The following is a 13,755-nucleotide window of genomic DNA, read 5'->3' on the forward strand; positions in this document are numbered from 1 at the left end:
ATTTACAGGTTTATCATAAAGGATATTCAGGGGCCGGGTGTGATGGCTCACGCCTGTAATCCCAGCACTCTGGGAGGCTGAGGCAGGTGGATTGCTTGAGCTCAGGAGTTCAAGTCCAGCCTGGGCAACATGACAAAGCTCCATCTCTACTGAAAATACAAAAAATTAGCTGGGCATAGTGGTGTGTACCTGTAGTCCCAGCTACTTGAGAGGCTGAGACGGGAGGACCACTTGAGCCTGGGAGGTGGAGGTTGCAGTGATCCAAGATCCTGCCACTGCACTCCAGCCTGGGTGACAGACTGAGACCCCATCTCAAAAAAATAAAATAAAATAAAATAAAGGATATTCAGAAGGATACAGAAGAACAACCAGATGGAAGAGATCCATAGGGCAAGGGAAGGGGAAGTGTGTGGCACCTCCATGCCCTCTCCAGGCACACTACCCTCCAGGCACCAGCAAGTGTTCAGCTGTCCAGAAGCTCTCCCAACCCCGTCCATTATTTCTTTCTTTTTCTTTTCTTTTCTTTTCTTTTTTTCTTTTTTAAGACGGAGTCTTGCTCTTGTCGCCCAGTCTGGAGTGCAATGGCATGATTTTGGCTCACTGCAACCTCTGCCTCTTGGGTTCAAGTGATTCACCTGCCTTGCCTCCCGAGTAGCTGGGATTACAGGTGCCCGCCACCATGGTCAGCTAATTTTTGTATTTTTAGTAGAGACGGGGGTTTCATCATGTTGGCCAGGCTGGTCTTGAACTCCTGACCTCATGTGATCCACCCGCCTTGGCATCCCAAAGTGCTGGGATTACAGGCATGAGCCACCGCGCCCGGCCTATTTATTTCTATATATATTTATTATATTTAATAATATATATTATTATTTATATACATATTTTTAATTTTATTTTTTTGGCTGGGTGGGGTGGTACACGCCTGTAATCCCAGCACTTTGGGAGGCCGAGGCGGGTGTATCCCCTGAGGTCAGGAGTTCGAGACCAGCCTGACCAACATAGTGAAACCCCATCTCTACTAAAAATACAAAATTAGCTGGATGTGGTGGTGCACGCCTGTAATCCCAGCTACTCAGGAGGCTGAGGCAGGTGAATTGCTTGAACCCGGGAGGCAGAGGTTGTAGTGAGCAGAGATCGCGCCATTGCACTCCAGCCTGGGCAACAAGAGTGAAGCTCCGTTTCAAAAAAAAATTATTTATTTTTAAAAATTGAATTAACTTGGCTGGGTGTGGTGGCTCACCCCTGTAATCCCAGCACTTTGGGAGGCCGAGGGGGGAGGATCACCTGAGGTCAGGAGTCCGAGACCAGCCTGGCCAACATGGTGAAATCCCTGTCTCTACTAAAAATGCAAAAATTAGCCTGGAGTGGTGGCGCATGCCTGTAATCCCAGATTGCTTGAACCCGGGAGGCGGAGGCTGCAGTGAGCGGAGATCACGCCACTGCACTCCACCCTGGGCGACAGAGCCAGACTCTGTCTCAAAAAAAAAAAAAAAAAAAAAAAAAAAAAAGGAGAGTTGTATTATTATTTGTAGATGAAGAAAACTGGTTCTGTCCAACCAATGCAGAATAGATCTCAATGGATCTTTGAGCGTCCAGAAATAGACCTAAGTGTAAAAGGGGGCATTTGCAGTTGAGTAGGATGGGCTGGGTACTGTCGCCAGGTCTGTAGTCCCAGCAATTTGGGTGCGCTTGATGTCAGGTTCCGGCCTCCAGGGGGCGCGCCCGAGCCAGGAAAAGGCTCCCGGCGCCCGGGGCGCGGGTCCAGCCGGCTCCATCCGAAATCTCCACTCCCACCGGCTTCGGCTGGGGGTTCTGCCGCTGCTCTGCTCCAGCCGAGCCCCAAATCCTGCCTCCTCTACCCCTTCCTCGGACCCAGCCCGTGCCCACCTTGGGTCCCGGCAGCCTGGGAGGGGTGCGCCTCTTGGGGCTCATCCCCCACAACCTCCACGCTCTGGAGGTGTTCAGGTTCCTTCGAGTCCGTGTCCCCGAGCCCCGCGCCGCTACGGGGAGCCCTGCAGACGCCTCGGTGGGGAAGAGAGGCCGCTGTCCCGGGATAGGTGCTGCCCCTTGGGCTGCGGGGCTCCGCGGAGAGCGGCCGAGAGAGCGGGAGCCCGGGCCGGGCGGGCCGGGGTGGACGGTCGTGGGGGCTGCCGGGGAGGCCCGGGAGCGGGAGGAGGTGACGGTCGGAGACGGGTGATTCTTGTGAGGGCACGCGGAGCCGGGGCGGGATGGGGGCCCTACCTTGTCCAGGCGCCCTCTGGATCCGGGTCTGCCTCGAGGCGGCGGAAGCCCCACGGGGCGCTGGGCGGCGCCCTCCCCTGCCTTGCCCTCGTGGGGTTACTCCCCGCAGAGCTCCCAGCTGGCCCCCCAGGACTCGTGGGGGTGAGGGGAGGGGGATGTGAAGCTCCCGAATGGAGGCCGAGAGGGCAGCGGGGCAGGGGATGCTCAGGAGTTCAAGTCCAGCCTGGGCAACATGGCAGGGCCCATCCCAGGGTGTCCAGGGCAAAAACAGTTCCCGCTCATGGGCTCAGAGAGGTCACGCCTGCCCCTGCCGAGGACAGAGCCTGTCACAAAGAAAACGGCACGCTCTGGAAGTTTCTTCCATCCCTTTCCACCTCCTCCTTCAAAACAGAGTCTGCGTCCTTTTGGCCGGGCTCGGTGGCTCACGCCTGTAATCCCAGCACTTTGGGAGGCTGGGGCAGGCAGATCACGAGGTCAAGAGATCGAGACCATCCTGGCCAACATGGTGAAACCCTGGCTCTACTAAAACTACAAAAATTAACTGGGCGTGGTGGCGCATGCCTGTAGTCCCAGCTACTTGGGAGGCTGAGGCAGGAGAATCGCTTGAACCCTGAAGGCGGAGGTTGCAGTCGACAGAGATCATGCCACTGCACTTCAGCCAGGTGACAGAGCGAGACTCTGAGACTCCGTCTCAAAAAACAAAACAAAACAAAACAAAACAAAAGAAAGACAGGAGCTCCTCCCCTTCTATAATTACAAACTTTTAACAGTTTTCCCTCAGGTTATCATTTTTATTTCATGAGAAAGTTCTGGCTAATGAGAACCCAAAACCCAAAGGAGGTGTTGATTTCAGGCACAGTGCCAGGTGCCTCTAATCCAGCCAGGAGCTAGGGGCTGCTCTGGGAGCTGCTGGGTGAGGAAGGGGTGTTGGGGGTCTACGCGTTTAAATCCCTATTAATGCCAGGCGCAGTGGCTCATGCCTGTAATCCCAGCACTCTGGGAGGCCAAGGTGGGCGGATTACCTGAGGTCAGGAGTTCGAGACCAGCCTGGCCAACATGGTGAAACCCCATCTCTACTAAAAATACAAAAATTAGCTGGGCTTGGTGGCACATGCTTGTAATCCCAGCTTTCAGGAGGAAGAGGCAGGAGAATCGCTTGAGCTCAGGAGGCGGAGGTTGCAGTGAGCTGAGATTGTGCCACTGCACTCCAGCCTGGCTGACAGAGCGAGACTCTGTCTCAAATGAATAAGTAAATAAATAAATAAATCGCTGTCAGCCATGGAGCCAGGCCTAGGTGCTGAGCCCAGTGGCGGTGGGAAGATGGGTTTTCTGAGCACAAACTCTGGGTTGAACCGTTTCCCAGGGAGCTTCCTGCAGAGTCTGAGCAGGTGAGGACCAAGGAGGTGAGGCCCAGGCCGATTCAGCTGGAGGAGTACACGCTGCTGCAGGACCTCAGCCATCTCAGGCCACCTGTCCTCCTGGGCCTTTCCCGTCACTGAGGCCACCTGTGCCTTCTGTGAAACACTGCCCCATTAGTTCAGAGTTCAAAGAGGGGGCTGTTACTGAGGCCGGAGGGGCCTGGGCCTGGGCTCTGACACTGATACTGACCTTGAGCTGGTGACTTAACTCCCTGAGCTTCAGTCTACTTGTCTATAAAGTGGGAATAATTCTACCTACTCTATTCCCAGCAACCTTTTTCAATGGCCCAAGCCTCAATTGTTCTCATCTGTAAAATGGGCTTAACCATGGCCTTTCCTGTGTATCTTACAATTTTGTAATTAAATCCATCCATCAGTTATCAAATAATAGTAATAAAGAAATGAGAGGCTGGGGCAGTGGCTCACGCCTGTAATCCCAGCACTTTGGGAGGCTGAGGCAGGTGGATCCCTTGAGCCCAGGAGCTCAAGACCAGCCTGGGTAACATGGTAAAACCCCATCTCTACAAAAAAATACAAAAACTAACCGGGCACGGTGGTGTATGCCTGTAGTCCCAGCTACGTGGGAAGCTGAGGTGGGAGAATGGCTTGAGCCTGGGAGGCGGAGGTTGCAGTGAGCCAAGATCGCACCTCTGCACTCCAGTCTGGGTGACAGAGCCAGACCCTGTCTCAAAAAAAAAAGAAAAAGAAAAAAGAAATGAGACTGCTTGCTATATGACTGGCACTGTGTACGTGCCTTAACTCATCCATTTCTCCTGGCCACCCTGGGAGGAGAAAGCCTATGTTACTGCCATCCCACAGAAGAGAAAACAGACCAGTAATTCACACACTCAGCATCACACAGGTGAACGTGCTGCAGATGCAGGCAGTCTGGCCTCACTGGCTGCCGCCCTCTACCCAGGCTGCCTCCCTGTACACAGGCTGCCTCCCTGTGCCCAGGCTGCCTCCCTGCGTACAGTCCACCATGCCAGGGCCCGGAGCATGGTGGCCCTCAATAAATAATGGTTGAATGAATGACACTGCAAAAGTGCCTGTAGGGTGGAGGTCCAGCACAGCTGCTCCGACGTACCCAGGTCAGACTGGAGTGGTCTGAGGGCATCCACACACCATCCTGCTTGCTGAAGCAGGTGAGTACCACAGGTTTTGCATTGTAACATGCAAATGATGGCATGTATTTCTATCCTCATCTGAGATCTGGGACTTTTATGGGTTTCCTGGTATTCACAGGGCAAGGCCTTTGGGAGAAAGCTTGAAACCCCCTGATGTAGTTGACAGAGCATGAGTTTATCCTCAGAGAGACCACAGTTCAAATCTTGGCTGGGTGACTACTTTTATGAGCCTCACTTGCTTCGTCGTGGCAGCCCGAATTGGCCTGACGATTTCCTGCAAGTTCCTTGACACCTGGAGGAAGATCATAGTACCCAGCCCTGAGCATCACTGACTTGGCATCACAGATCACCTCTTCTAGGGAGCAATCTGTGGCTGATGGAGGAGAGTGGGGATACCAGAAGAAAAAATTTAACTGCCTGGAAAGTACCTTCCTGGTGGCTTTCAGTCATCTCAGCTCCCCAGATGCCCTACTTTTTGCTGGAGTCACATGCTCTGCTCTTGCTCTCTTCAAGGTAACAGATTCTTGTCCGTTTGCAGGCAGCAACTTGAGAAATAGAAGAAGAACAGGTCTCAGACCGCATTTATTCAGATGTCAGTGTGGATAAGCACCATGCCAGTTTCTGTCCTAGGCGCAAAAACTGCCAAGATATTTTTTAAAATCTTTTACTGCGAGGCTAAGTTTATAATAAAAGAAACTAACCTCATTGCTTAAAAAATGAAATTAGGGCCAGGCAGAGTGGCTCACGCCTGTAATCCCAGCACTTTGGGAGACTGAGGCAGGTGGATCACTTGAGGTCAGGAGTTCGAGACCAGTCTAGCCAACATGGTGAAACCCCATCTCTACTAAAAATACAAAAATTAGCCAGGCATGGTGGTGCACACCTGTTGTCTCAGCTGCTTGGGAGGCTGAGGCAGGAGAATTGCTTGAACCCGGGAGGCAGAGGATGCAGTGAGCAGAGATCGCGCCACTGCACTCTAGCCTGGGCGACAGAGCGAGACTCGGTCTCAAAAAAAAAAAAAAAAAGGAACAAACAAACAAAAACTGAAATTAGGTGGGGTGCAGTGACTCACGCCCGTAATCCTAGCACTTTGGGAGGCTGAGGCGGGAGGATTGCTTGAACCCAGGAGCTGGATACCAGCCTGGGCAACAGGGCGAAACCCCATCTCTACCAAAAATACAAAAATTGGCCGGGCATGGTAGTTTGCACCTGTAGTCCCAGCTACTCAGGAGGCTGAGGTGGGAGGATGGCTTGAGCCGGGGAGGCAGAGGTTGCACTGAGCCAAGATTGTGCCACTGCACTCCAGCCTGGGTGATAGAGCTGGAACCTATCTCAGAAAAAAAAAAAAGGAAGAAGGAAAGAAGGAAAGAAGGAAAAAAGGAAGGAAAGAAAGAAAGAAAGAAGGAAAGAAAGAAAGAAAAAGAAAGAAAGAGAAAGAAAGAAATTACATGATAGTTTATATGTTTGAAACCAGCAAATCCTGGCTCCTTTATATGCCCTCGTAATTCTACCTGAGACCTGAATCCTTCCTTTTTCACTCATTATAATCTTGAATTTTATCATAAGCAGCTAAAAGAAAATAGCTGGTTGGCCGGGCGCGGTGGCTTACGCCTGTAATCCCAGCACTTTGGGAGGCTGAGGTCAGGAGTTCAAGACCAGCCTGGCCAAAATGGTGAAACCCCGTCTTTACTAAAGATACAAAAATTAGCCGGTGGTGGCAGATGCCTGTAATCCTAGCTACTCAGGAGGCTGAGGCAGGAGAATCGCTTGAACCCAGGAGGCAGAAGTTGCAATGAGCCAAGATCGCGCCATCGCACTCTAGCCTGGGGGACAAGAGTGAGACTTCATCTCAAAAAAAAAAAGAAAGAAAATAGCTGGCATTTTCAACATTTCAACATAACGTACTCTAGCCAAGTGCCAAGCAATCCTCCTTATCAGGTGGACCGGGTACAATTCCTGCTTCCCCCTGAGTAGCTGGTTTCAGTTCCCTGCCAGCCCATGGAATTATAAAAACAAGCCAATCACATACACCACGAAACCAGAGGACACCTCAACTTTTTTTTTTTTTTTTTGAGATGAGTCTCGCTGTGTCACCCAGGCTGGAGTGCAGTGGCACGATCTCGGCTCACTGCAACCTCCATTTCCAGGTTTCAAGTGATTCTCCTGCCTCAGCCTCTCAAGTAACTGGGATTACAGGCACTCACCACCATGCCCGGCTAATTTTTATATTTTAGTAGAAATGAGGTTTCTTTTTTTTTTTTTTTTGAGACAGAGTCTCACTCTGCCGCCCAGGCCGGAATGCAGTGGCGCGATCTCCGCTCACTGCAATCTCCGCCTACTGGGTTCACGCCATTCTCCTGCCTCAGCCTCCCAAGTAGCTGGGAATACCGGTGCCCGCCACCACGCCCGGCTAATTTTTTGTATATTTAGTAGAGACGGGGTTTCACCGTGTTAGCCAGGATGGTCTCGATCTCCTGACCTCGTGATCCACCCGGCTCAGCCTCCCAAAGTGCTGGGATTACAGGTGTGAGCCACCACGCCCGGCCAGAAATGGGGTTTCACCATGTTTGGCCAGGCTAGTCTTGAACTCCTGACCTCAAATGATCCACTCACCTCAGCCTCCCAAAGTGCTCGTATTACAGGCATGAGCCACCACGCCCGGCCACCCTTACCCTCTTGATACTACAAAGCCTCTTGTGGTCCACTGGTACCAGGCACAAGCCCTGTGTGGCCCTGCAGAGTGTGTCCTCCTCTCCTGAGCTGTGAGTACATGTGACTCATAAACTGCTCTGGATCTCTTCTGTCCAGATTCGGGTGTCCTGTGTTCAGCCATTGCCATAATCCTAGGTCAGGAATCCCTCCTGCACTGATGAAGTCAAGAGAGGTGATTAAAACAAGCGTTCCAGTATATCTCACTTGGGTTACATAACTGGGCCTTGTTTTCTTCAGCTTCCAATAGTAATTTCCTGGGCTGGGCGCTGTGGCTCATGCCTGTTATCCCAGCACTGGGAGGCCGAGGCAGGCAGATCATCTGAGGTCAGGAGTTCGAGACCAGCTTGACCAACATGGTGAAACTCCATCTCTACTAAAAATACAAAAAAATTAGCTGGACATGGTGGTGCATGCCTGTAATCTCAGCTACTCAGGAGGCAGAGGCAGGAGAATTGCTTGAACCCGGGAGGTGGAGGTTGCAGTGAGCTGAGATCGCACCACTGCACTCCAGCCTGGGCAACAGAGTGACACTCTCTCAAAAACAAAACAAAACAAAAAATAAAAAAAATAAAAATAAAAAAACTCTATATTGGGCCAGATGTGGTGGCTCATGCCTGTAATCCCAGTGATTTGGGAGGCCGAGGCAGGTGGATCACCTGAGGTCAGAAGTTCGGGACTAGCCTGACCAAAATGGTGAAACCCTGTCTCTACTAAAAATACAAAAAAATTAGCCGGCCATGGTGGCAAATGAGCAGTGAGTCAAGATGTGCCACTGTACTCCAGCCTGGACGACAAGAGTGAAACTCCATCTCAGAAAAAAAAAGAAAAAAGTAATTTCCTCACTGTTCTTTAAGCTTTCACTAACAGTTTTGTCAAGGTCCTTTCTACTCTCTGGTCCCCAAACCAATGCCAGGTGTATTTTTTGTTTCTGTACCACCCTACTTTTACGTGTCACACTGTCTTCCGGTCATTGATCATAACAAACCACCCCAAAATTCAGTAGCTCAAAACAATAGTTGTTCATTGGCTTACAATATTGCTATATATGTGTGTGTATATATATATTTTTTTCTTTTCTTTTCTTTTCTTTCCTTTTCTTTTTTTTTTTTCTCTTTTTTTTGAGACAGAGTTTTGCTCTTGTTGCCCAGGCTGGAGAGTAGTGGCATGATCTCACCTCGCTGCAACCTCTACCTCCCGGGTTCAAGTGATTCTCCTGTCTCAGCCTCCCCAGTAGCTGGGATTACAGGCGCCTGCCACCACTCTCGGCTAATTTTGTATTTTTAGTAGAGACGGGGTTTCTCCATGTTGGTCTCCTGGCTAGGAGACTGGTCTCGAACTCCCAACCTCAGGTGATCCACCCACCTTGGCCTCCCAGAGTGCTGGGATTACAGGCATGAGCCACCGTGCCTGGCCTATATATATTTTTTAATAGAGATGGTGTCTTGCTGTATTGCCCAGGCTAGTCTCTAACTCCTAGGCTCAAGTGATCCTCCCACCTCAGCCTCTCAAAGTGCTGGGATTACAGGCATGAGCCACCGCACCTGGCCACAGTATTGCAATTTTGTGGGCTCAGCAGGGCCATCTCTTAGCTCCATGTGGCATCAGCTGGGATACCTTGACTGGGCTGGAAGGCCCACCTCCAAGATGGCTCATTCTCCTGCCTGGGAGACTGCGGGGTGGCTGGGAGCCACTGTTACCCTCCGTGTGGACCTATCCATGGAGCTGCTTGTGAAATTGCCTGAGGAGTTCGTCTTGTCCGCTGCACAGATAAACCCAATTCACTGAGACAGCATTGTTGCAGTAAAGAAAGTTTAATTGGCCGGGTGCGGTGGCTCACGCCTGTAATCCCAGCACATTGGGAGGCCAAAGTGGGTGGATCATGAGGTCAGCAGTTCAAGACCAGCCTGACCAACATGGTGAAACCCCGTCTCTACTAAAAATACAAAAAAATTAGCTGGGCATGGTGGCAGGTGCCTGTAATCCCAGCTACTCAGCAGGCTAAGGCAGGAGAATCACTGGGTGGTGGAGGTTGCAGTGAGCCGAGATCGTGCCACTGCACTCCAGCCTGGGTGACAGAGAAAGACTCCACCCCCACCCCACCCCCCAAAAAAGATGAGAAAGTTTAATTAATGCAAGGCTGGCCAACTGGAAGGACAGGAGTTTATGATTGCTCTGATCAGCCTCCCCAGGAACTCAGAGGCTAGGCTTTTAATGGATAATTTGGTTTGCAGTTGGGGGGTGGGAGTGAAGGGGGGTGAGGAGGGTGTAGTAGGGAATGGGTGCTGCTGATTGGTTGGGGATGCACTCAGAAGTGGGTGGGAACAATCCTTGTGCTCTGAGTCCACCCCTGGGTGGGGGACACGGACTGGTTGAGTCATGAGTCGTCATAGATCCAGGTGGGGTCAGTAGGTTGTCAGAATGCAAAAGTGTGAAAAACATCTCAAAAAACCAATCTCCGTTTCTACAATAGTGACATTGTCTATAGGAGCCATTGGGGACGTCATGAATCTTGGCCATATGACTCCTGAGCAGTAAGGGATGATGGAAACTAGGTCTACATTTTAGCAGAATTCAGGCCCCTCTGTTATCCGAATCTCATGGACTTTTCTTTAGTTTAGCAAAGGTGGTTTCAGTTTCCAAGCAAGGAAGGAAGCAGTTTTAGGGAGGGACTATTACTGTCTTTGCTTTAAACTATAAACTGGACCTAAAGGCCAGGTGCAGTGGCTCACGCCTGTAATCCCAGCATTTTGGGAGGCTGAGGCGGGTGGATCACTTGAGGTCAGCAGTTTGAGACCAGCCTGGCCAACATGGTGAAGCCCCGTCTCTACTAAAAATACAAAAATTAGCTGGGCGTGGTGGCGCATGCCTGTAATTCCAGCTACTTGGGAGGCTGAGGCAGGAGAATCCTTGAACCCCGGAGGTGGAGTTGCAGTGAGCCGAGATCGCACCACTGCACTCCAGCTTGGGCAGCAGAGCGAGACTCCATCTAAAAAAACCCACAAAACAATGGGCCAGGCATGGTGGCGGGTGGCTGTAGTCTCAGCTACTCCCAGCTACTTGGGAGGCTGAGGCAGGAGAATGGTGTGAACCCAGGAAAGCGGAGCTTGCAGTGAGTTGCGATCACGTCACTGCACTCCAGCCTGGGCGACAGAGTGAGATTCCATCTCAAAAAAAGAAAAACAAGCAAAGAAACAAACAAAAAAAAAACCAAAAAAACCCACAAAACAACAACAAAAAAATTAAACTGGGCACAAAGAGAGGAACAACCGACACCAGGGCCTACTTGAGGGTGGAGGGTGGGAGCAGGGTGAGGATGGAAAAGCTACCCGTCAGGTACTGTGCTTGCCACCTGGCTGATGAAAACATCTGTGTAGGAAACCCCAGCCACATACGATTTACCCACGCAACAAACCTGCACATGCACCCCCTGAACCTAGAATAAATGTTGAAAAAGAAAACAAACAAACTATAAACTAAATTTCTCCCAGGGTTAGTTTGGCCTACGCCCAGGAATGCCTAAGGCCAGCCAGCCCGTGAGGCTGGAAGCAGGATGGAGTCAGCTGCGCTAGACTTATCTGGCCGTCATAATCTTTGCAAAGGTGATGTCAGTCGGGCTTCCTCGCAGCACGGTATTTGGGTTCCGAGAAAGGAAGTGGAAACTTCCTGTTCTCTTAATGGTCAGGCCCCGAGTGGCACATCCTTACTTCTGCCACTGTGCCAGGTCCAGGCTGGACCCAGGGAATTCGATGTAAGTTCCATGTTGTTCTGTGGTGAGCAGGTCTGTGCAAACCTACTCCCAAAGGCCCAGGAAGCTGAGAGATTCAAAGAAAGCCTCAAAGAAAGAGGCTGCCAACTGGGTGCGGTGGCTCACACCTGTAATCCCAGCACTTTGGGAGGCCAAGGCTGGTGGATCACGAGGTCAGGAAATCGAGACCATCCTGGCTAACACAGTGAAACCCCGTCTCTACTAAAAATACAAAAAAATTAGCCAGGCGTGGCGGCGTGCACCTGTAGTCCCAGTTGCTGGGGAGGCTGAGGCAGGAGAATGGCGTGAACCTGGGAGGCGGAGCTTGCAGTGAGCCAAGATTGCGCCACTGCACTCCAGCCTGGGTGACATAGCAAGACTCCGTCTCAAAAAAAAAAAAAAGAAAAGAAAAGAAAAGAAAGAGGCTAACAAATGCATTTTCTCAGAAAGAAACATTTACTAAAGACTTACACACAGAAGCCATGTCTCAGGAGGCCACGAGATTAGATGGATCCCTGTGCCCCTACCCCCAAGACCCAGGGCTTTAAATACCATAGAGAAATTGTATACATACTTTAGAAGAAGTTTGTAAGACAATTGAAGTAATTTGACTAAGGGCAGGATAATGTTGTTTTGACCTACGGGCAGGATTTACACTACGTGCACACTCTTTTTTTTAGACAGGTTGTTGGCTGGGTGCGGTGGCTCACACCTGTAGTCCCAGCACTTTGGGCAGCCAAGGCAGGTGGATCACCTGAGGTCAGGAGTTCGAGACCAGCCTGGCCAACATGGCAAAACCCTGTTTCTCCTACAAATACAAAAATTAGACAGTCGTGGTGGCAGGCGCCTGTAATCCCAGCTACTCAGGAGGCTGAGGCAGGAGAATCGCTTGAACCCAGGAGGTGGAGGTTGCAGTGAGCCAAGATCACACCACTGCACTCCAGCCTGGACAACAGAGCTCAACTCCATCTCAAAGGAAAAAAAGACAGGCCCTCGCTCTGTTGCCCAGGCTGGAGGGCAATGATGGGATAATAGATCACTGCAGACTCAAACTCCTGGGCTCAGGCAATCCTCCAGCCTCAGTCTCCTGAACGGTTTGGGACTACAGGCACACGCACCATGCCCAGCTAATTTTTAATTATTATTATTATTTTTTTGTAGAGATGGGGTCTCACTATGTTGCCAGGGCTGGAGGTACGTGTTTTTAACAGTAGATAAAGTAGTCCTGGAACTGAGGGTAATCAGAAGTCAACATGGCAGCTTAGCATCTAAGACGGAGTGGCTTTGGCCTCCAGATACCTCTTGTTAGGACTGGTGTATGTGTGCAGAAAGGGGAAGAATTATTTGAAACCATCTTTGGAGATCAGCTACCACACCCCTGATTACACAAATGAAGAAGCTGAGATTCAGAGATGGGACTGGTGGCTCAGGGGACAGAGGATTCATTGAGCTGTTTCTATGTGCCTGTGCTGTGCTGGGTGCTCCCAGACGCAATCTCTTTTTTTCTTTTGAGACGGAGTCTTGCTCTGTCACCCAGGCTGGAGTGTAGTGGCCTAATCTTGGCTCATTGCAACCTCCACCTCCCGGGTTCAAGCGATTCTCTTGCCTCAGCCTCCCGAGTAGCTGGGATTACAGGCGTGCGTCACCTTGCCCGGCTAATTTTTTTTATTTTTAGTAGAGTCGGGATTTCACCATATTGGCCAGGCTGGTCTTAAATTCCTGTCCTCAGATGATCTGCCCGCCTCGGCCTCCCAAAGTGCTGGAATTACAGGCGTGAGCCACCGCACCTGGCCACCCACATGAAATCATATGAGGTAGAAGCAATTGTGTTTTTTGTTTGTTTGTTTGTTTGTTTTCTGAGATGGAGTCTCACTCTGTTGCCCAGGCTGGAGTGCAGTGGCATGATCTTGGCTCACTGTGACTTCTGCCTCCTGGGTTAGAGTGATTCTCCTGCCTCAGCCTCCTGAGTAGCTGAGATTACAGGCGCACCCCATCATGCCTGGCTAATTTTTGTATTTTTAGTAAAGACGGGGTTTCACCATGTTGGCCAGGCTGGTCTCAAACTCCTGAGCTCAAGTGATCCGCTCACCTCGGCCTCCCAAAGTGCTGGGATTACAGGCATGAGCCAATGTGCCTGGCCAGAAGCAGTTGTTATCCCCATTTTACAGGTGAGGAAACTGAGGCACAAGCAGGTGGGTAACTTGCCTACAGCCACACAGCTGTTGGAAGAGGGCCCAGAGTTAAATCTGAGCAGTCTGACTCTGAGCCAGTAGCAAAGTCCAAAAACCGTTACATTTTTGCCTTGGGAAGTGGATTTGGCATTAACAACAAAGTGGAATTGTGCCCAAGATGCTAGGGAGTTCAAATAAAACAAAATGTGACATTCTTCATGCTGCAGCATAGTGCATTCTGGGAAATCATGGCATACAATGACTTGGATTTTTCCCAGAGGAAACCTCTCTAGCAGACCTGGCTAGTTCCTCCCCAGCACCCACTCCACTGTCATACA

The 13,755-nt window shown here is 50.8% G+C and overlaps 3 annotated features.

Annotated features, from left to right (window-relative positions):
• Positions 1,676-1,815: a silencer, noted in NCBI's record as "silent region_13837". NCBI's record gives its function as "represses an Ori minimal core promoter by ATAC-STARR-seq in GM12878 lymphoblastoid cells {active_cell/tissue: GM12878}" and the evidence as "EXISTENCE:reporter gene assay evidence [ECO:0000049][PMID:35858748]".
• Positions 1,946-1,995: a silencer, noted in NCBI's record as "silent region_13838". NCBI's record gives its function as "represses an Ori minimal core promoter by ATAC-STARR-seq in GM12878 lymphoblastoid cells {active_cell/tissue: GM12878}" and the evidence as "EXISTENCE:reporter gene assay evidence [ECO:0000049][PMID:35858748]".
• Positions 2,036-2,315: a silencer, noted in NCBI's record as "silent region_13839". NCBI's record gives its function as "represses an Ori minimal core promoter by ATAC-STARR-seq in GM12878 lymphoblastoid cells {active_cell/tissue: GM12878}" and the evidence as "EXISTENCE:reporter gene assay evidence [ECO:0000049][PMID:35858748]".

This window comes from Homo sapiens, chromosome 22, assembly GCF_000001405.40.
Source record: "Homo sapiens chromosome 22, GRCh38.p14 Primary Assembly".
Lineage (NCBI taxonomy): Eukaryota > Metazoa > Chordata > Mammalia > Primates > Hominidae > Homo > Homo sapiens.